The sequence below is a fragment of the Homo sapiens genome, chromosome 11 (assembly GCF_000001405.40).
Source record: "Homo sapiens chromosome 11, GRCh38.p14 Primary Assembly".
NCBI lineage: Eukaryota > Metazoa > Chordata > Mammalia > Primates > Hominidae > Homo > Homo sapiens.
The window spans coordinates 134,273,909-134,294,591 of record NC_000011.10 but is presented as its reverse complement, the minus strand read 5'-3'; the positions used below and the strand labels follow the sequence as shown (position 1 = coordinate 134,294,591).

Here is a 20,683-nt window from a genome sequence, read left to right as displayed (position 1 = left end):
TGTGGAACTCTGTATGTTGAATTGTATGATGACAATGGGTGAATTTAATGGTGTACAAATGAGATTTCAATTAAGTTGTTAAATGAAAGTGACAAGAAAAAAAGAACAAAAAGGAAGAAGACTTAGCAAAGGTATTGAAAAACTAGAGATAGCCACAGATCCACAGAGCCCTGGCAGGGCCCCTGCCTTTCACCGAGTTGGAAACTGTATAGAAATTGATGAAAATCCAGGCGCAGTGGCTCACACCTGTAATCCCAGCACTTTGGGAGGCCAAGGTGGGTGGATCACCTGGGGTCAGGAGTTTGAGACCAACCTGGCCAACGTGGTGAAACCCCATCTCTACCAAAAAGTACAAAAATTAGCTGGGTGTGGTGGCAGGTGCCTGTAATCACAGCTACCCGGGAGGCTGAGGCAGGAGAATCGCTTGAACCAAGGAGGCGGAGGTTGCAGTGAACCGAGATCATACCATTGCACTCCAGCCTGGGCAACAAGAGTGAGACTCTGTCTCAAAAAAAAAAAGAAATTGATGAAAAAAAGAAGTAAGTTTCATGAGTCTTATTTATAATGTGGGTGGAGGGTAGGGGCAGAGCCCTGAAGCTGCAGAGTCTGGCTAGCCTTCGGGGCTGCAGTGTGCTGGAATGGAAGGAAGGCCCTCAAGGGAGGGGTAGCGGGGCTGGGAGCGGAGGCAGAGGCTCACAGCGGCCCAGCTGGCCAAGGCGTGGGGGCTGCATGTCATCCTGGGCACAAAGGACAACCAGGAGAGGGTGTTAAGCAGAGGAGACTGTGACCAGGCCTGGTCTTGAAGCACGCACTCTAGCTAGGCTGTGGAGAAAGGACAGATGATGTACTCCCTGGAGGCTGCAGAGAAAGGACAGATGTACTCCCTGGAGGCTGGGCTGTGGCTTGTCCTTCTCTGTAATGTCACAGGAGGTCACCCACTGAGAGAAGGTGGGAGCCGCTCAATCCACGTCTTAAATCAGTGCAGGTACAACCCTCATCCCTTCTGATAATATGTAAGCTGTGGCGGGAAAGGCTAGCCCCACCAGAACTCCCTGGGAGGCCTCCGTGAGCAACGCGCATAGCCGTCTCTGAGCACTCTCTTCACAGGGGAAAGGGAACATTGTCTCCCTCTGATTCCCACCACCCCTCGCCCTTCCCACTCATCTCCATGACGTGATCCACAAGCGGAGGTGACACAAGCAGGGTTCCCTCCTCCTTCCCCATCCCAAAAGGCTCCCAAAATGGCTTGGAACCTGCCGAGGACCCAGGGTGAAAACCTGCGGTCTTCTTGTCAAACCTGTTTTCACGGAATACCAGCTACATAGGCAAGGGAGGTCATGGTAGGAGGAGCTGTAAAACCCTGCCTGTCTGAAATGTCTTACCTGGACTTTATGAAGCTGATTGAAAGTATCCTGGTGAAGTTTTTGCAAATTGATGGCGGCCAACACTGCATAAAGAAGAGAGAGACCCAGCTGAGGCATGAGACAAGTGCTGTCAGGGAAGGGAAGGAATGCGCCCCCGGCCCGGACGCACGCAGGAGGAACCCATGCTCAGCAGTGAGGATGGCGAGATGCTGTCTGGACCCCACTCTGCCACATCCAAAGGGCTGCCACGGCCATCGCCACATCCCTGACACTTGCGAGGACACCCACTGTTGAAATTAACCACACTCTGTGCAGAGAAGTGAGCCAGGCCAAGGCTCCCTGACATGATTAGACTGGAAACGGGACACAGGCTTCCTGGCCCCAAGCTCAGCACGTGTTCCAGTGTGCCAGGCTTCCTTGGAAGAGCCACTACTAAGGAGGCAGAACGGCAGCCGCCGGCAGCAGCTCGCCCCGCTCCCCTGCTCACTCCCGGGCGTGTCCCTCACTATTGCCATCTGATGAGTCCGTCCAGAATCTTCCTGCCACTTAATTCTCTAGGATCTCCTAAGTGTCCACACAGAGCCTTGGGCGGTAGGATCCCAGGAATGGAACCGGATCTAGGCGGGGTTCCTGACACAACACCCATCTTCTGGTTCTCCCTGTGGTTTCCCAAGTTAGTGGAGATGGCCCTGATCCCAAGCCAGGCGCAGCACCAATGCAGATTTCTTGCCACAGAAAAACTATGGGAGATGGAAAGGCGTCCTGAGAACAGAGGAGCTCCAGTGCTGCTGTGTTTAAAGACGGCAGGAGCAAGGCCAAGATAGGGAGCTGTGAGTGGCCCTGAGCCTTAACCTTGAGTCCTCATTTATTGTAACATCGAACTCCAGGATCCATCCCAGTGGACACGGGAAAGGGAGGTATCGAGATGCACTTGGTTTTCTCTGCAGTGTGTTCAAGATTTACACGGGCTGGCTGAGAGCCCTGTTCTCCTGTGAACTAACTCTAAATGTGTACCTCCTTTGGTGTGGCCACTCAGCACATGTTTCTCACCATCAGAGGTCAAGAGAAGCTCCACAATCCCTCTTCTCAGCAGGGCCTGTTGAGAAAATTAACCAAAATGAACCCAATTCCCTCATTCCCATGGGAAAAAAGAAATACATACAGCTCCCCATATTCATGGGTTCTGCATCCATGCATTCTGCAATCACAGTCAGAAATATGTTTTTACTTTTTTAATTTTAAATTTTTTTTAGAGACAGGGTCTTGCTGTGTTTCCCCGGGCTGGAGTGCAGTGGCACGATCATAGCTCACTATAACCTTAAACTCCTGGATTCAAGCCATCTTACCACCTCAGCCTCCTGAGTAGCTAGGACTACAGGCACACGCCACCATGTCCAGCTAATTTTTTTTTCTTTAGTAGAAACGGGGGCTCACTATGTTGCCCAGCCTGGTCTCAAACTCCTGGCCTGAAGTGAGCCTCCCGCCTTGTACTCCCAAAGCACTCAGATTACAGGTATGAGCCACCACGCCTGGCCAAAAATATATTTCTTAATTGCATCTGTACTGAACGTGCACAGGCATTTTTCTCATCATTATTTCCTAAAGAGTACTATATAGCAACTATTTATGTAGCATTTACATCATATTGGGTATTAGAAGTAATCTAGAGGTAAGTTAAAGTACATGGGAGAGGCCAGGCATGGTGGCTCATGCCAGCACTTTGGGAGGTCAAGGCAGGCAGATCATTTGAGGTCAAGAGTTTGAGACCAGCTTGGCCAACATGGTGAAACCCTGTCTCTAATTAGCCAGGTGTGGTGGCGCATACCTGTAATTCCAGCTACTCGGGAGGCTGAGTCACAAGAATTGCTTGAAACCAGAGGTAGAGGTTGCAATGAACCGAGATCACGCCAGCCTAGGTGACAGAGTAAAACTATCTCAGAAAAAAAAAAAAAAAGCATATGGGAGGATGTGCATAGGTTGCATGGAAGTGCCACACAATTTTATGTCAAGAACTTGAACACCGACCGATTTTGTGTCCACAGGGGCCCTGGAATCAATCCTCCATGGATGCTGAGGGCCGACTATATGAGGAAATCGGAAACTAAACAGAGCATGGTTCAGTTGGGTGAGATGGGAGCTAGACACGGGTTTGAATTCAGAGTCTGACCTTCTGCAACTTAGTAAATTGGGGGAAAGCACTGTCTCGGTCTCAGCCTGGTGACTTTTGTGGGGAATGACCCTAAAATCGGTCGAGTGTGGGTTCTGACACCCCATGATCAAAGTCTCCAGGGAAAAAAAGGGCTGAGTTTACCAGGAAATGCCCTGGAAGAGGATCTAAGTCACTGAAAGAAGAGGAAGAAGACCAGGGAACCACTCTGTGCTGGAAGGGGAGAGGCTGCAGCTGTGGGGTCCTGAGAACCATCAGGGAATTCACCAAGCTCAGGTGCTGCCGAACACTGTCAAGGGGAACAAGGAAGCCTGCCATGGCTGCAGGGATGGGGACATCTAATCTGAAAAACCATGGTCACGAGGCCAGATAGCCAGGGCCTGGCTGTGCGTCTCCTGTGCTTATCGAGTCAGACCTGGGCCTGGGAGTGGAGTTGAATGGTTTTTTTTTCTTTTTCTTTTTTTTTCTTTTCTTTTTTTTTGGCGGGGGGGGACGAGTCTCACTCTGTCACCCAGGCTGGAGTCCAGTGGCATAATCTCGGCTCACTGCAACCTCCATCTCCCAGGTTCAGGTGATTTTCCTGCCTCAGCCTCCTGAGTAGCTGGGATTACAGGTGTGCACCACCACGCCCAGCTAATTTTTGTATTTGTAGTAGAGACAGAGTTTTGACACGTTGGCCAGGCTGGTCTCGAACTCCTGACCTCAGGTGATCCACCCACCTCAGCCTCACAAAGTGCTGGGATTCTAGGCATGCGCCACTGAGCACAGCCGGTAAATTTTAAAATCAAAAACAAATAATGCTGGCTGAACACAACCGATTAAATAATGCTGGCTGAATACAACCGATTAAATAATGCTGGCTGAATACAACCGATTAAATAATGCTGGCTGAACACAACCGATGCAGGGCAGCCACGCGTCCCCTGGGAAAAGACAGGGAGGGAAATTACTCTCTGACCTTGTCCACCTCCAGAAGCCACAGCTATAGCGCGGGAGCCAGCACGTGGATGAAGTCCAGCCCCGCCCTCCTCCCCACTTTGCCCAGCTGGGGACCCCTCTCCTTCCCGCCCCGGCCTCCAGCCAGAGGTCTCCGCACAGGCACTGCTGCAGAGGCAAGGGCGGAGTCAGGACGGCTCAGGCCAACCCTGCAGCCCTGCACTCTGCTTGGCAGCCCATGGTGGGGTTCAGTTGAGACTGAACTCTCATCAGCTTTCTGAATATGGGAAGTCAGGGGCCAGCAGGGGCTGAGCCACCAGGAAGGACAGCAGGCAGGACTGCAGTTATTCCCTGGCCTGACAGTCCCTCCGTGAAGAAGCAAGAGGGACAGAAGAGACGACGTTTATCTTACAGGCCAGAAAGCTTCAAGCTGAGAGTCCCATCACTAAGTTCTTGAAGCATTATTTACAGTGGAGGAAGATTCACCAGCCCCAGCTTTAATGAGAGTCGTGGGTCATAGAGACAGGAAGCAGAAAGGAATAGCCCTTTAATGCCATGTTCTGTCTTCTAATAGTTATTTAGGTACATAGTGATTGTCTTGACTGCTGTAAATTCACAGAGAAAATGAACTTGATCTACAGTTGAACCTTGAACAACACAGGTTTGAACCGTGCGGATCCACTTATACTCGGATTTTTTTCAATACGAGTTACAATCCCCTGCCTCTCCTGCCACCTCCTCCACCTCTTCTGCCACCCCTGAGTCAGCAAAACCAACTCCTCCTCCTCCACCTCTTCCTCCTCCCCCTCAGCCTGTTTAACCTGAAGATGATGAGGATAAAGACCTTTACCATGATCCATTTCTGCTTAATGAGAAGTCAATACATTTTCTGTTCCTTATGATTTTCTTAGTAACATTTTCTTTTCTGAAGCTTACTTTGCTGTAAGAATACAGTATATAATAGATATACAAAACCTGCATTAATCGACTGTTTATTATTGGTAAGGCTTCCAGTCAACAGTAGACTATTAGTGACTAAATTTTGAGGGAGTCAAAAGTTATACGCAAATTTTCAGCTATGCAGTGGGCCGGCACCCCTCCGCACCTCGTGTTCACAGGCCAACATTCTCAGAATGCACAGTGTCCAGCCCGATCACTCATGCATCCAGGAATCAGAAACGCACAGAGGAGGAAGGAGGCATGTAAACATGGGGCCAAACCAAGGCCCTCTTACCTTGTGGAGATACGGCATGTATGTTTTATCCTTATTGAATGAGCCATACTCATTCTCCACTTGCACCGCGATGACAGGGCCTGCCTGGCGGTACTGAGAAACAAGCATAGGAGGGTTAAAGAGTGAGGCTATTTGGGGCAAAAGCCTGGAGTCTCTGAGCTTGCTGCCGAAGGCTGCACAGCTGGTGCGGCAGGCTCTGATCCACGGCCCCTGTGGTCTGCACGCTCTGCTCCAGCGCTGGAGTTAGAGTCTGCTGGGTCACTTGGCTGCTGTGGGAGCCGCCTTCCCTAGTGCGTTACAGTACGTAACTGCCAGGTTTCCCTCTGGTTCTCACACTGGCTACTTAAATTTGAGCCCTCAAACCTACAAATGCACCTGCTTCCACGCCAATCCCATCCATATTCCCACCTCCCTCCTGCCTTAGGCTTATGCCACCACTTGCGTGTGGGTCCCACGGCCTTCCGCTGCCTGATCAGGAACGTGGCTCTGGGCACAGCCCCTCTCCCCTCCGTGCCTTTGACCTTCCTTTGCAACAAGCTGACCTCCATGATCATGGAAACTTACTCAGGACCCTCCGCATCAAGATGGGGGCAGAGGCCCAGGAATGTTCCCCTCTTCCCACTCTCCTCATTAAGAGCCACACTTCCTAGAAGAGCTACCGGTCATCTACACCCACATCTCCTGCTTTCTTGCTTTTAACTCACTCCTCAAACTCCCTTGGGAAAGCTTCCAGCCCATCCTGCCATCCAGACCATCAACATTGACCTAGTTATGCTAAACTCAAAGGCCTTTTCAGAGTATCCTCTTTCAGGGTCCTTCCACAGTCTGATGCATTTCCTTCTCCTTGGAGCCCAGCCACAGAGAAGGCAGCCTGAGTGCTGGAAAGCCAAGGTCTGAGCTTTTTGTCCCAACATACAGCAGGCCCGGGGTCCCCACTGCCTACAGCATAAATGGCCAGCTTTATAGTGCGTTCCTCCCTCTTGGACAAAAGAATGCTGGCTCTGAGGGCACTAAGGAAGGAGAAGAGGCATGACTGTCAGCTTTTCCTTTGCAGGTTCCCCTCTGCCTCCTTCCCGCCTCACCCTCTGCCCAGGCGTGCTGGCTTCCCACAGCTCCTACTGAGATTCTGTTTGCCTCCACAGGGCAGCGCCACGCCTGCCCCCCGAGTGGACGCATGGCCTCTCCGCTGTGCCTGGTACACCCAGCAGTGACCACACAGGCCCTGGCGCTCAGCAATTACTCGCTGGATGGACATAAATATTCTCAGCGAGTGAGTTGAAAACAATTGTTTTTATTATTGAACAGTATCAGTTCTCTCCAACCCGAAGGGTGAGACTTCTAAAAACCCCATTGCAGAGGAATTTCCAGTCGGCCTTGTGAAATAAACAGGATAAGAATAAAAGTCCCAAGTAAACCAGTAATGCACTCTAAAAATTATTTTTACATAATAATTAAAACAATAATGACAACCAATTCCGTAAAGGGACCTTAAAATACTAATGATGTATCAATAATTAAATTAGTGCAAGGTATGCGAGGTATGGGGCATTACATTTCACTTACCCTTATAATTCCTTGCTTCTTAAAAGTTTCCTAGCATTTCCCACAGTTCAATGGGATGCCTGTAAATTAGCTTTCCTCGTTGCATACATGTGCCTGTGAACGGCATTTGTGCTTCTGGTAAAACTTCCATCCAAATATTCAGTCTTTCTGGGTTTTTGTTTTTTTTCGAGACGGAGTCTCACTCTGGCGCCCAGGCTGGAGTGCGGTGGCGCCATCTTGGCTCCCTGCAAGCTCCGCCTCCCGGGTTCACGTCATTCTCCTGCGTCAGCCTCCCGAGTAGCTGGGACTACAGGCGCCCGCCACCACGCCCGGCTCATTTTTTCTATTTTTTAGTAGAGACGGGGTTTCACCGTGTTAGCCAGGATGGTCTTGATCTCCTGACCTCGTGATCCACCCACCTCGGCCTCCCAAAGTGCTGGAATTACAGGTGTGAGCCACAGCTCCCAGCCTGGACATTAATTTTGTATAAATGTTTTCTGTGTATTATATAGCCTACCTATCTATTATTTTAATGCATGTCTATTTCTTATTTATGTATTTATTTATTTTTTGAGACGGAGTCTCGCTCTGTCGCCCAGGCTGGAGTGCGGTGGCGCCATCTTGGCTCCCTGCAAGCTCCGCCCCCCGGGTTCACGTCATTCTCCTGCCTCAGCCTCCCGAGTAGCTGGGACTACAGGCGCCCGCCACCACGCCCGGCTAATTTTTTCTATTTTTTAGTAGAGACGGGGTTTCACCGTGTTAGCCAAGATGGTCTCCATCTCCTGACCTCGTGATCCACCCGCCTCAGCCTCCCAAAGTGCTGGGATTAACAGGCGTGAGCCACCGCGCCCGGCCACCAGTCTTTCTGGTTTTGAGGCTCACTCCTGCCACTGAGTCCCATCTAGATTGCAGAAATGCAAACAGACACATACAGCTTCAGCCCTTCAAACAAAAGATGTACCTCAACTCCACCTAACGGAGCCAGAGTTTAATCCTAAAGACAGGGTTTTCTTCCTCTCAGCAGTGCCCGTCTCTCAAAACTGTATTGCAGCAACACCATTCCTAAGCTCTCTCTCACATTCTTCCTTTGTTATCCCTCGATTCTTCTCTTTATAATTATCCTAATAAGAACAACTCACAGGCTGGGTTCTGTGGCTCATGCCTGTAATCCCAGCCCTTTGGGAGGCCGAGGCAGATGGATCATCTGAGGTCAAGAGTTTGAGATCAGCCTGGGCAACATGGTGAAACCCCATCTCTACTAAAAATACAAAAATTAGCCAGGCATGGTGGTTGGTGCCTGTAATCCCAGCTATTCAGGAAGCTGAGGCAGGAGAATTGCTTGAACCCAGGAGGTGGAAGTTGCGGTGAGCCGAGGTCACACAACTGTACTCCAGCCTGGGCAACAGAGTGAGACTCCGTCTCCAAAAAAAAAAAAAAAAACAGAACTCACAATTCATGATTCCAAATTAGTTACAAAGGCCTAGATCTATATGTTTGCCATATTTACTCCCAAACAGAAGAGTAAGATATCAGCCTACTACTACCTAAAAATCCAGGTGTTTTTTTGGTTTGTTTTTGAGACAAGGTCTTGCTCTGTCACCCAGGCTGGAGTTCAGAGGCACGATCTCAGGTCACTGCAACTGGGCTCAAGCCATCCTCCCACCTTAGCTTCCCGAGTAGTTGGGACTACAGGTGCTCACCACGCTCTCGAATTTTTGTATTTTTTGTAGAGTTGTGGTCTCACTATGTTGCTCAGGCTGGTCTTGTACTCCTGGGCTCAAGCAGTCCTCCCACTTTGGCCTCCCAAAGTGCTGGGATTACAGCCGTGAGCCACCATGCCAGGCCATAATCTAGATTTTTATCCCATCTCGAGCTGCATCAAGAGACGTGTCCTTGAACTATTTTTACTTAATATCCAAGTGCATCTTCTCTTTTGGAAGAGTTATGTTGTTTAAATTTAAAAAAATTACAATGATCAAACAATGCTGTCTTGTAGACCGCACAGTACAATGTTCTTTTTTTGTCACAGACCTGACTGTGTGCTCTAGGTTGCCATGGTAAAAATGAAGGCGTTTCTTATCAAGTGCATGAGGTCTGGGTACACCATAAAAAAGGCAATGCTGTTGGGCGCAGTGGCTCACACCTTTAATCCCAGCACTTTGGGAGGCAGAGGTGGTGGGATCACGAGGTCAGGAGATCAAGACCATCCTGGCTAACACAGTGAAACCCCATCTCTACTAAAAATACAAAAAGTTAGCCGGGCATGGTGGTGGGCACCTGTAGTCCCAGCTACTTGGGAGGCTGAGGCAGGAGAATGGCGTGAACCCAGGAGGTGGAGGTTGCAGTGAGCCAAGATCAAGCCACTGCACTCCAGCCTGGGCAACAGAGTAAGACTCTGTCTCAAAAAAAAAAAAAAAAAAAAAAGGCAATGCATGGCACCTGTGTTCTTCCCATCTGTAGGAGTAAATCAAACTAGAATGCAGGGCAATAGCAGGTAGACTTACACAGACACGGAATGGGGGGTGCAAGTTATTTTTTTACAACATAAATGGAAAATCCAAATGTCCATGAATAGGATATGAATTCCCGAGTTTTGTTTTTTTGTTTCGTTTTGTTTTTTGAGACAGAGTGTCACTCTGTTGCCCAGGCTGGAGTGTGGCGGCATGATCTTGTCTCACTGTAATCTCTGCCTCCCAGGTTCAAGTGATTCTCTTGTCTCAGCCAGCTGAGTAGCTGGGGTTACAGGCATGTGCCACCATGCCCAGCTAATTTTTTTGTATTTTTAGTAGAGATGGAGTTTCCCATGTTGGTCAGGCTGATCTCGAACTCCTGACCTCAGGTGACCCCCCTGCCTCGGCCTCCCAAAATGCTGGGATTATAGGCATGAGTCACCAAGCCTGGACTGAATACCTGTTAAATGAATTATGATACATCCCTACTAGGGAACAGTGTGCAGGCACTAAAAAGAGTGGCTGGTTTCAAATCTACGTATTTCAAGTAACAAAAGAAAAATGCCTGAGAGGCATAGACACGTGTGTATAATTTGCTTCTGTGCTGATAAAATCTCTAAAAAGAGACACAAAATCTAGTAAAATTGGTTGTCTCCTGAAAGGGCAACTAAATGGCTTTGGGACAGGGTGGAAGGTGAGATTTTTATCTGACCAAAAATTCATTTGTACCTTCTGAGTCTTTTTGCCATGTCAAAAGTGGAAAGAAGCAATGGGAAGATTGGCAAGCTTGAGGAATAGTAAGTTCATGTGGACAACCAGTCCCTGCCTTGTGTGATGAGTCTTTCTAGCAACCCTGGGGAAGCTTACCCGGACAACAAGGACAGGACAGGTCAGTGCTTCTGTCCTCAAGCCAAGGGTCCAGAACTCAAGGTTACAAGAAAGTCAACTCAATTGTTCATGGAGACTGCATGTGGCCTCTTCAGTGATCAAGCCAGAACAAACTCTTTCCCTAAAGGGCACGTAAGAAAGATGCAGGGGACAATTTGGCTTTACCTGGAGAGGAATCACTCTGGGAATCAGGTGGTCAAAATACTTCTCAACTGCTTCAATGAAGCTCTTGTTGGTTGTCCTCAACAGTAACCGGGGGTCTTGCAGGAGCCAGCTGGGGGCAAGAGGGGCGGGCTCAGGGTCTGAGACGGGTTGGGAGAGGGAAGCAGGAGTGGGCTCAGAGCTGCCCCGGCTCGCCGCACATCTGCCCAGCTGCCTCACACCCCCGGTCCCGGAGCACTCGGGTCCTGGAAAGATCTGTGCCGCGTGAGACTTTCAGACCATTCTCACAGACTTGTGGGATTTGAAAGGAAACGGCCGCCTCCACCTCCAAGGCACTTCACAACTTCGGAAAGGCCTTCAGCTCTATTTGGTCTGACTGAGGGGCTGGCCTGTCAAGGCTCTTACAGCCATGTCTTAAAGAGCTTTTTCTTCTACCTTTTGGTGAACACTCTCTATTCTTTTTCAGTTTATTGAAAACATTTTTTGGTCAGGCGCGGTGATTCATGCCTATAATCCCAGCACTTTGGGAGGCCGAGGTGGGCAGATCACCTGAGGTCAGGAGTTCGAGACCAGCCTGGCCAACGTGGCGAAACTCCCGTCTCCACTAAAAGTACAGAAATTAGCCGGGTGTGGTGGCGGGCGCCTGTAATCCCAGCTACTCAGGAGGCTGAGGCAGGAGAATCGCTTGAACCCGGGAGGCAGAGGTTGCAGCAAGCCGAGATCGCGCCACTGGACTCCAGCCTGGGTGACGAGAGCAAGACTCCGTCTTAAAAAAAAAAAATTCTTGGGGACAGAAAAAATTTCCTTAGGCACAGTGTCACATTTCCACTAAGGGCTAAGGCTTCAGGCTCAGGGCAGGAGCCTACGTGCCAATGATACTCCACCCACTCCAGGTCACTGGGGAAGTGCCAGGCAGGCCTCCAGCCAAGCTATGCCGGGAGTCACTGCTTCCCGAAAACTCCACTCCCCTCAGCTCAGGCTTTCTCTGCCCCTGGAGAAAAGCAAAGACCTCTCTCTTCATCCTGGAGAAAAGCAAAGGCCTCATCTGACTCTGAGGTGCAGAGGTGCTCACTGGAGGCAGAGCCCCAGATTCCCCAGGAAGCCCTGCCCACCACAGGGGTGGCAGAGAGGAGTCTTGGAGTCTCACCCTGACCCTCAGCAGTCTGGGCTGGGGGCCAGAATCACAGAGGAGAGAACAAGGCAAAGAAAAGCAAGAGGGAAGGGAGGGGAGCTGAGGGTGGTCTCACTGCATGGAAAGGCAAGCCTTCCCCTCACAAAATAAGCGAAAGATCAGAAGTTTTCAAAACAAGCCGAGTCGTCAGAACCTTCCCTTGCAGGCCTTAAAGCTTCTGGTCCCTTTCTTCCCAGGGCATTTTGAGAAGGACAGAGGAGGCTACAGCCCCTCCTGCATGGGGAAAGAAGAGTGGGAGCCTCTTGTGGCCACCTCTCCCCGCGCACACCCTCTTGACCGCATGCCCAAGGCCCCAGGACCAACGTCTGGAGCTTCTCATCTGTGAATCGGGGATGACAACTGCACCCCGCCCCCCGCCACCGCAGTACCGCAGGCTTCCCACAAGACAACACAGGCACGGTGCGTGGCGTGGGGCAGCACACCTCCCATCGGCTCCGTGAATAAAGGTTACTTTCCTTGTTACTAGCTTGAAATTCACTTTTTTTAAAGCAAATACTTCACTAGAACCACGACTCTGGGACTGTAGCCCCGCTTACCTGGGCAAGCCCCCGAGGTCCATCTCACTGCAGATGTAGCGGCCTGGACGCAGAATCACCCACAGCCCGATCTCTGCGGCCATCAGGACGAAGGCCCTAGGGAGGTCCACATCGTCAGCCCCTCCCACGACGGCCCAGGATGAGGCCGGGTGGGGGCCACACGCATCACAGGGTGGAGGAGCTGCCTGGTGGGGCGAAGGGACGGCTCGGCCCCACCCCCAAAGCGTGGGGACTCCCACACCAGGTCGGTGGCCTGAGCTGCTCCCAGCCTCAGAGCCTCTGCACAGCCCCATCGGGGGCCTGAGGAGGAAGGGTGACACCCAGGGCTCAGTGGTCTCAACAGTGAACCTGACCCCATAGCCTTGCTAGCCTAGAGGGGCCGCCCTGCCCCAGCCCAGGCGCCAGACCCCATGCAGAGTCGGGCGGCTCCCAGGGTCTTCTGCCCCTCTGGGCTGCAGTGGAGAGGTGGGGCCCGGAGGCTGCAGGCCCAGTCCCTCTGGGTGACAGGTCACGGTTGGGGAGCGTCTGGGTCCTGGGTGCAGGGCCTCTCACAGTCCTAGAACAGGACTCCAGACCCACGTCCCTCCCTGGTTCTCTTTGGTTGCTAATCCACCCCCAGTAGCCACCTCTGTGCCCTGCCCCTGACCAGGGCACAGAAGCAGCAACACCACATACTCCAGGTCCAGGTTCCCAGAGAAGTCAAATTTGCCTCTTTCTGGCTCATGCAGGTTCCACGGAACATAGCTAGAAGAGGTGAGAGGGAAGTATGATGAGTATCTTCTTATTTCTTCCTCCAAATTGTTAGGTCTGCCCCAAATCCAAGCCAAAACCATGCATAGCTCTATTTTGAAATAAGTTGAAGTTACCAGTGGAAATTAAACCTCTGTTACACTAACCATGACCATCTTTAATAGTTCCTTGCTCTATTATCCAATTGTGGTTCAAGCTGCCAATTATCCTATGATGCTGGGTTTCTTGGGATTTATATATAAATTCTTCCACTCACTGCCCTATTGTAACACTCATTAAAAGTATAAATTAAAAAAGAGAACAAAAACAAAAATGTCTACATCTTCCTTATAAATTTTTGCTATGAGTTAGTCAAAATAAGAATAAATGAGGAGTTTCTGTGAAGATAGTGGAGTTACAGTAAATCTAGTAAGGGTACTACCTTTAGACCTTAGCAAGAAGGGCCCCCAGGGGACCCTCCCCCATAGGGCTATGAGTAAAAATTTTATTAGGTATACCAGGCATAGTTCACTAGGCAACTGTGTTTTTTTGTGCCACTGGCAACATGTTTGAGTGTTATGCCCCTTAACATCATGTTTCCTATAAGCCCTGTGGTTTTTATTACACAATTTTGTGCAGTGCAGAGATTTTTGACAATACATCGTAGAACTGACTGTATGGCCCACCAAGAAGACATACTAATCATGGCCTTCTATGAGCTTAACAACGTAGCTTGTTGTATGTTGTAAGTTACAACATAGCTTGCCGTAAGTAAAGGAGAAGCTGACTGAATTAGAGAGGACCTGGATACATCAGTTACCATCACAGTGAAAAGATTTAAAGTACCCCTCTAAGAAACAAAGAAAATAAGCAGCAAAAAAAGAAAAAGAAGAAACTTGTAAGGATACAGATTTGAACTGTGTAATTAAAAGTCGGCATGTAATAAATACATAGAGAACCCAGTAGCCAACAGATGGAGCATCTACATTCCCTTAAAAAGCGCATCTGTACAACTAAGTATGAAAAAAGAATGTAAAATTTAAAAGACCAAAATTTAAAATGCATGAAACAGTTGTAAAATATTGGCATGTACTATGTCACGAAGTAAATCTCAACAAATTCCAAAAACCTATATCACATAGTCCATGATCCCAAGATAAATGCAAACAAATTTAAAAATCACAGTTAAATAGTAAAATTTAAATAAATAAATAAATAAATAAAACAGAAAGCGTATTCCCAAATAGCTAATAGAAACAACATCAAAACTTAGGAAATATTTGAAAATAAATGACATTCAAAGCACTATATAGCAAAATTTGTGGGCTATATAACCAAAGCAACACTCAGAGAAACATTCATATCTTTGAAGGAATATATTAGAAAACACAAAAGACTGGAAGTAAAAGAAGCTAAATTTTAACTCAGGGAAAAAGAAGAAGGAGGAGGAGGAAACTGAGAAGGACAGAGAAGAGAAGGTACTATATTTAATAAAGTAGAGAAAAGGAAATTACACATAACTCAGAAACTGTGAAATACAGATCCGAAATATACAGAGAGTACTAACAAAGCTACAAGCTAGTTATCTGAAAAGACTAAATAGATAAGATTAAGAAAAAAGAAAAAAACAGCCAAAATACACAACGTGATGTATATAACTTCCAAGTGAGTACAGGAAAGAAAGGAAAAATTTCTTAAGTCCCAGTGGGTTCAAAAGAAGAAAGAAGGCTGGGCGAGGTGGCTCACATCTGTAATCCCAGCACTTTGGGAGGCCGAGGCAGGCGGATCACCTGAGGTCAGGAGTTTGAGACCAGCCTGACCGATATGGTGAAACCCCATCTCTACTAAAAATACAAAAATTAGCCGGGTGTGGTGGCGGGAGCCATAATCCCAGCTACTCAGGAGGGTGAGGCAGGAGAATCACTTGAACCCAGGAGGGGGAGGTTGCAGTGAGCAGAGATCGCGCCACTGCACTCCAGCCTGGGCAACAGAGCAAGACTCTATCTCAAAAAAAAAAAAAAAAAAAAGAAAAAGAAAACAGAAAGAAAAAAGAAAGGAAAGAAAAAAAGGGGGAGAGCAGGATGTATTCAAGAAGAAATAGAGGACATGAGTTAATAACCATTCAAAGAGCTATGTCGTCCCCAAACCCTTCACCTCACAAACCACAAAAGATAGTAGTCACAGAGTTTACAGGTGAATCTTAAGAAACTTTCAGGGTAAAGATAATTCTTGTGCAAAATATTTCCAATAAGTAAGAAAAGAAGATTTACTCACTTTATGAGCTTATTATAAGATTGATTCAAAACTGGACAAGAATACTAACAAAATAAAATTTTAAATCCGTTTTGCTTATAATCATAAACACATTTGAAATAAAACACTAGCAAATAAAGTCTAGCAATCTGTGTGTATGTAATGTGTGCCTATCTCAGAGCCAAGCAGAGTTTATACCAGTACCACATGGCTGCTTGACTATCAGAAAAATTGCCGTTGTAATTCAGCAATTCAAAAGAACAGTGAAGAAAAACTATATTGTCCCCCCAATACATGCAGTAGCAGCTCTCAATAAAACTCAACGATTATTTCTGATTAAATTCTTTGCATTTTAAATGAACCAGTTTACTGCCTCTCAGCTTCAAATTCACCCTTCAATACCAGCTCTGCAATAAGGCACAGGGCCCTCTAAGCATCTTCTCCTTTACAGTGAGTGTGATGGTAAGCTTGCCACAAAATGGTGGTGGCAGGCCCTCAGGAGGACAGGGCCTCTGATTCTGGAGCAGTTTTGCTTTTTTGTGGTCATACAGGGTGGCTGGTCAGTTGTATACAGGCATGAGGACGACCGTGGTGTTCCCTTTTAAAGGGTGAACTGCTTGAGTCCAGGAGTTTGAGACCAGCCCAGGCAACATGGCGAAACTCCATCTCTACAAACAATTCAAAAAATTAGCCTGGTGTGGTGGCATGCACCTGTGGCCCCAGCTGTTCAGGAGGCTGAGGCAGGAGGATCACCTGAGCCAGAGAAGTAGAAGCTGCCGTGAGCTAAGATCGGGCCACTGCACTCCAGCCTGAGCAACAAACAGAACAACAAACTGTGTCTCAAAAAAAAAAATTTTTTTTTGTTTTAAAAACATGCATGTATCTGTAAGTACATATTTATCTGTAAGTGTGCCTTAAGCTTATGTCATTAAACTGAGTGCTCCCAAGGGCGCCTGGTGTTCCTTCATTAGACAGACAGAATCCTGAGGAAATAACCTCCTCCCTTGAGATTCTCCCACTAACCCCTATCCAAGTCTTTGATCACAGAGCAAACTCAGCATGAGACTAAGTGACAGCTGGACGCTTAAGCATTAAATGTATGTGCTGGAAACGACTGTGCGGAAGGTAAGTCCTCACGCTGGGCCCCCAAAATCGGAGGCTCAGGTTCCCGGCCAGGATGCACTTGTAGGGTAACGAGATCCTGGAGGTGAGGGGCCGGCACTCACGTGGTGACAGTATTGAAGCCACAGGCCTTCAGCTTCAGCAGGCGGTCCCTCCAGTACTCCCTGGGCACCCGGAAATAGTGGATGGAGCCCCCGAAGATCAGGAACTTGTGGCCCTCCAGTGTGAAGTGGGGCTTACCCCGACCTGTGCTTTCAGTTCCAAGTCCCACAGATCGATTCTTCAGCTCCAGAGGGGTCAGATGAGACCAATTAAACCTGGAGGGGGCGGGCGAGGGAAAGAAAGTGGAAAGGGAGAGAGGATTCGGGAGAGGGCTCGGAGGCACGGCTGAAACCCTAGCGAAAAGAAGTTTTTGTTAGTAGGACGTGTTCTGTGCATATGTTAGTAGGACGTGTTCTGTGCATATGTTAGTAGGACGTGTTCTGTGCATATTCGCGATACTATTTTCTCCAAGAAAGGAGAGATCGCTCCCCTCCCTCCCCAGGGATGTAGCTCTCAAGCAAACCTAGGCTGGGACGGATGCGCTCTTCCAAGCATGAAGTTCTCTTCCTGCTTAAACCGAGGAGCAAAACCTGATGAGATAAATGGCAGGAAAAAGATGCCCGCCATTCTCTTCCAGGAGAGACACGGGCTGAAAGGAGAAAGGACAACAGTGACAAGGGGAAGGTTCCGGCCCCACCGGGCTGCAAGGGCCGGGAAGCTGTGCCGGGGGCGCTTTAGAGGCCAGAGCCAGGGAGGGGGCCCGCGACACAGGCGGGTCTTCCAGGCGGGCCCAGGGCCAGGACAGCGCGGCATCACCCGGCCAGTCCTCTGCAGCCAGGATGAAGGCCGGGGACAGACGTTCAGTCCTAGACCCTCCAGACAGGGCTGGGCAGTGCCGGTGGGTGCCTGGGAGAGGCGGAGGCGGGCGCACTTCCAGCACCAGGTTCGGGAAGGACACGGTGCCCAGCCGCTGGAGCCCCTGGCCTGCGTGCCCCACCCTGATTTTCTGGCATCTGGTGAACGGCCCCTCCGCAGGGTGGGGGTAGCCAGGGGATCTGCCGAGGAAAGCTGGGGACAGCGGGCTTGGTGGCGCGGCCCGGCGCGGCGCGTGCCTGGGGCGCGTGGCCGGCCACAGAACCCGGGGAGGGTGGAGGCTCCCGGGCACGCGCCGGGGTGGTGGGCAGCCCGGGACGGCAGCGGCGATCCGTCACCTGAGGAGGGGCGGGGACTTCATCGCGGCCAGGCCGAGGCGCCGAGGGTCCCTTGCGGCTTCCGCCCCTCTCCGCTGGCCCCGACGCCGCGCTCGGGCCGGGACTCGAGCCCCGGTTCCGCGGGGCAGGCTCAGGTCTGCGCGCTGCGCCTGCAGCCGAGGCAGAAATCCGTCCCGAGGCGCGGGCGCCGGGTCCGGGTCCCAAGGATGCGCGTCGGGCTCCCTCCCGCGGGGACAGCCGAGCTCCGCCGGCGCTCCAGGTGTTCCCGCAGTGCGTCCGGGCGCGGACGCCTCTCTGCCCTCGGAGGGGAAGCGGGAGGGCCCTTGGGGTAACGCCCCGACCTCGGGCTTCCTAACCTGGGTCGACAGCCGGCTGGCACAGGGAGGCCTGCGCGGGAGAGGGGCGGAGAGAGCGCAGCGCGGGGCACAGCGGGCGGTCTCCGTGCCGCGCGCGCGACTGGAAACGGCGTGCAGATCCTAAAACGAGGGTTCCACAGAGGGCCACGAGGGGCAGGAGAGAGTCCCCGGAGAACTCTAGCTCCCCGACACGGCTACCTCTTGGCAAACGAGCGAGAATTGGGGCGCAGAGCCTTGGGAGGGCCGTTCCCTCGGCGGGAGCGGCCCGAGCACAGCCTCACAGCAGATGCGAGCGCGGCGGGCGCTTTGGTGACGAAGTAGCGGGACCTGCAGGAGGCAGAGGCCTGGTGGGGCCGTGGACGCCACGCCGAGCTGCCCAGACCCTTCCAGAAGACAGTGGGGACTATTCAACGGTTTCCAGCAGAAACTAAGCCAGGTGTTCGTTTTACGGAGATTGCTCGGCTGCAGGGTGGAGGCTGGATGAGAACAGGCGTCCTCTCAGGTAGGCGCTCGTGGTGGTAACGCTGCCCAGGAGGAGGGCACGGGTTCCGGGAAGACTTGCGAGGTTAAACCGGCAGCTCCGGAGAACTGAGCGCAAGAGGTCGGTGACACAGAGAGGAGTCCGGGAGGCCGCATGTTTCAGGCTGAAGTCACTTGGCGGGGACGTTTATTGAGATGCGAAACACAGGAAGGGATAGAGGCTGCGCAGAGGGAAAAGGCGATGGACTCGGTTTTGGAAACGCTGATGTGAAGTCCCTACGATGAAAAAAGAAATCTTCCGATTTCTCCCTTTGAAGTCTTTGCTTCTTCCGTTGCAAAGAACACAGCCTATGACATCAGGTTGAAACCAAGAATGTAGTTCTCTGAAAATACTGTGTGTGGGGGAGGGAGTTTATCTTGTCTCATTCCTTACAAGGATACTTTGCTCTCCGACACCTTAGCTCCCTGAAAGTTTCCTAGATCGTCCATCTTTTCCTCATTTTTTCGACTGCAAGCAATGAACTGTTAATTTTTTACAGTTTGGTTTTACAGCCACACACTTTATTCTTCTTTGTCAAGTTTAAAGTATTCTAGGGCTTGTGCCTTCCCACATAAAATTTAGAATAAACTTGTCTGTTTCTACAAAAAGCCATGTTGGTATTTCGAGAGGAATTGCAATCAACCTATGGATCAAATTGAGAATTGTATCCTTATTATGTTGAATCTTCCAACCCACGAACATGGTATGTCTGTCTATTTAAATAGTTTTTTTTTTTTCACTTCTTTCATCAGAATTGTGTGATTTTTTCAACATCAGATCCTATCACGTTTTGTTAGGTTTATACTTAAATATTTCCTTTGCTCTCAAGAGATTTAAACTGTTATTATTTTTATTTCAGTTTTTACATGTTTGTTGTTAGCATACAGAAATGTGATTGTGTTTCTCATGTTGATCTCATATCCTGTGACCTTGGCAAACTCACCTATTAATTTTAAGAGGTTATTTGTGTATTACTTGGCATTTTCCATGTAGATAATCATGTCATCTGCAAATATGGAGAGTTTTATTTCTACCTTTCCAGTCTGCGTGGCTTTTTATTCCTTTTTTTGTGTGTCTTAGTATGATGACTAAAATTTCTGTGTTGAATAAGAGCGGCAGGAACTGACACTGTTACCTTGTCCCCAGTGTCAGCTGGAAAACATTCTGTTTTTCACTATTAAGTATGATGACAGCTATAGGTTTTGTGTACATATTCTCTATCAAGTTGAAAGAGTTTGACAGCTGGGCCTGCAGTCACTAGAAATGCTGTGGTGCTTTATTGGAACAAGCTATGTATCAAGAATTGTGATTTTCTGCAGGCGTTGCTGGAGGAATTTTGACAAAGGTAGAAGAATCAAATAATGGATTATTGGTTCATTTGAAAGATGACATATCCTGTGTCCTTTTGCCATCTGGGGCTCCCCTCTGCTGATGGAGTATTTGAGAACCTCTATGAAGGAGCCCTGGAGAGTGAAAGTTCCCCCAGATTTCTGTGCTCATTAAACCTGTAGAACTCTTGAAAATGTGCAAGGTGAAGTAACAATTTTGATCAAACAAAGCTGTCAGTTTCTGTCTTGAGATTACAGAAGTAACTCTACAAGGCCAACATCCCAAGCACAGGAAAGACCAGCCACTAGGGCCGCAGACCCAGCATCCTGGTACAATTTATTAAAAAAAAAAAAAAAAATCAATATTTTTCCCTTCAGTTTCCATCCAGATAACTGATAATGAAACAAAGAGCTAATTTCCCAAAGCAGGCAGAAAGCATCAAAAAGCTCCCAGAGCTGAGTGTGCAAACTTCCTGTGCCAGTGCTTTGATGTTAATAAAGCACAATTCCTGCTCCTAAATTGCTCTCTTGTAAGAACAGCAGCTTCCAGAAAAAGAAGGCAGCACTTTCTGTTGCTTTAGTAGTGGACAACCCTATAGGAGTTAATGTATGAACCAGAAAAGACAATTCTTGATTTCTTCTTAGGTTGAA

At 49.4% G+C, this 20,683-nt stretch overlaps 1 protein-coding gene across 15 annotated transcripts in view, besides 4 other annotated features; it reads right to left on the bottom strand.

Annotated features, from left to right (window-relative positions):
• GLB1L3 (galactosidase beta 1 like 3) overlaps positions 1-18,825 on the bottom strand; it is a 49,538-nt gene extending 30,713 nt beyond the window's left edge. For 6 of the 15 annotated variants that reach the window (XR_002957120.2, XM_011542567.3, XM_011542566.3 and 3 more), the window contains exons 1-8: positions 17,141-18,825; positions 16,680-16,892; positions 13,147-13,215; positions 12,472-12,567; positions 10,747-10,855; positions 5,702-5,794; positions 2,379-2,460; positions 1,383-1,447 (exon numbers count right to left, since the gene is read on the bottom strand). Coding sequence is in view for 14 of the 15 variants with exons in the window: in XM_011542567.3 (XP_011540869.1) it covers positions 1,383-1,447; positions 2,379-2,460; positions 5,702-5,794; positions 10,747-10,855; positions 12,472-12,567; positions 13,147-13,215; positions 16,680-16,892; positions 17,141-17,430 (1,017 nt within the window). In the remaining variant the exon portion in view is untranslated. The other 9 variants (NM_001080407.3, XM_017017156.3, XM_017017155.3 and 6 more) reach the window with 6 other exon arrangements.
• Positions 18,035-18,104: a silencer, noted in NCBI's record as "silent region_4097". NCBI's record gives its function as "represses an Ori minimal core promoter by ATAC-STARR-seq in GM12878 lymphoblastoid cells {active_cell/tissue: GM12878}" and the evidence as "EXISTENCE:reporter gene assay evidence [ECO:0000049][PMID:35858748]".
• Positions 18,555-18,604: an enhancer, noted in NCBI's record as "active region_5774". NCBI's record gives its function as "activates an Ori minimal core promoter by ATAC-STARR-seq in GM12878 lymphoblastoid cells {active_cell/tissue: GM12878}" and the evidence as "EXISTENCE:reporter gene assay evidence [ECO:0000049][PMID:35858748]".
• Positions 18,755-18,884: an enhancer, noted in NCBI's record as "active region_5773". NCBI's record gives its function as "activates an Ori minimal core promoter by ATAC-STARR-seq in GM12878 lymphoblastoid cells {active_cell/tissue: GM12878}" and the evidence as "EXISTENCE:reporter gene assay evidence [ECO:0000049][PMID:35858748]".
• Positions 18,945-19,054: an enhancer, noted in NCBI's record as "active region_5772". NCBI's record gives its function as "activates an Ori minimal core promoter by ATAC-STARR-seq in GM12878 lymphoblastoid cells {active_cell/tissue: GM12878}" and the evidence as "EXISTENCE:reporter gene assay evidence [ECO:0000049][PMID:35858748]".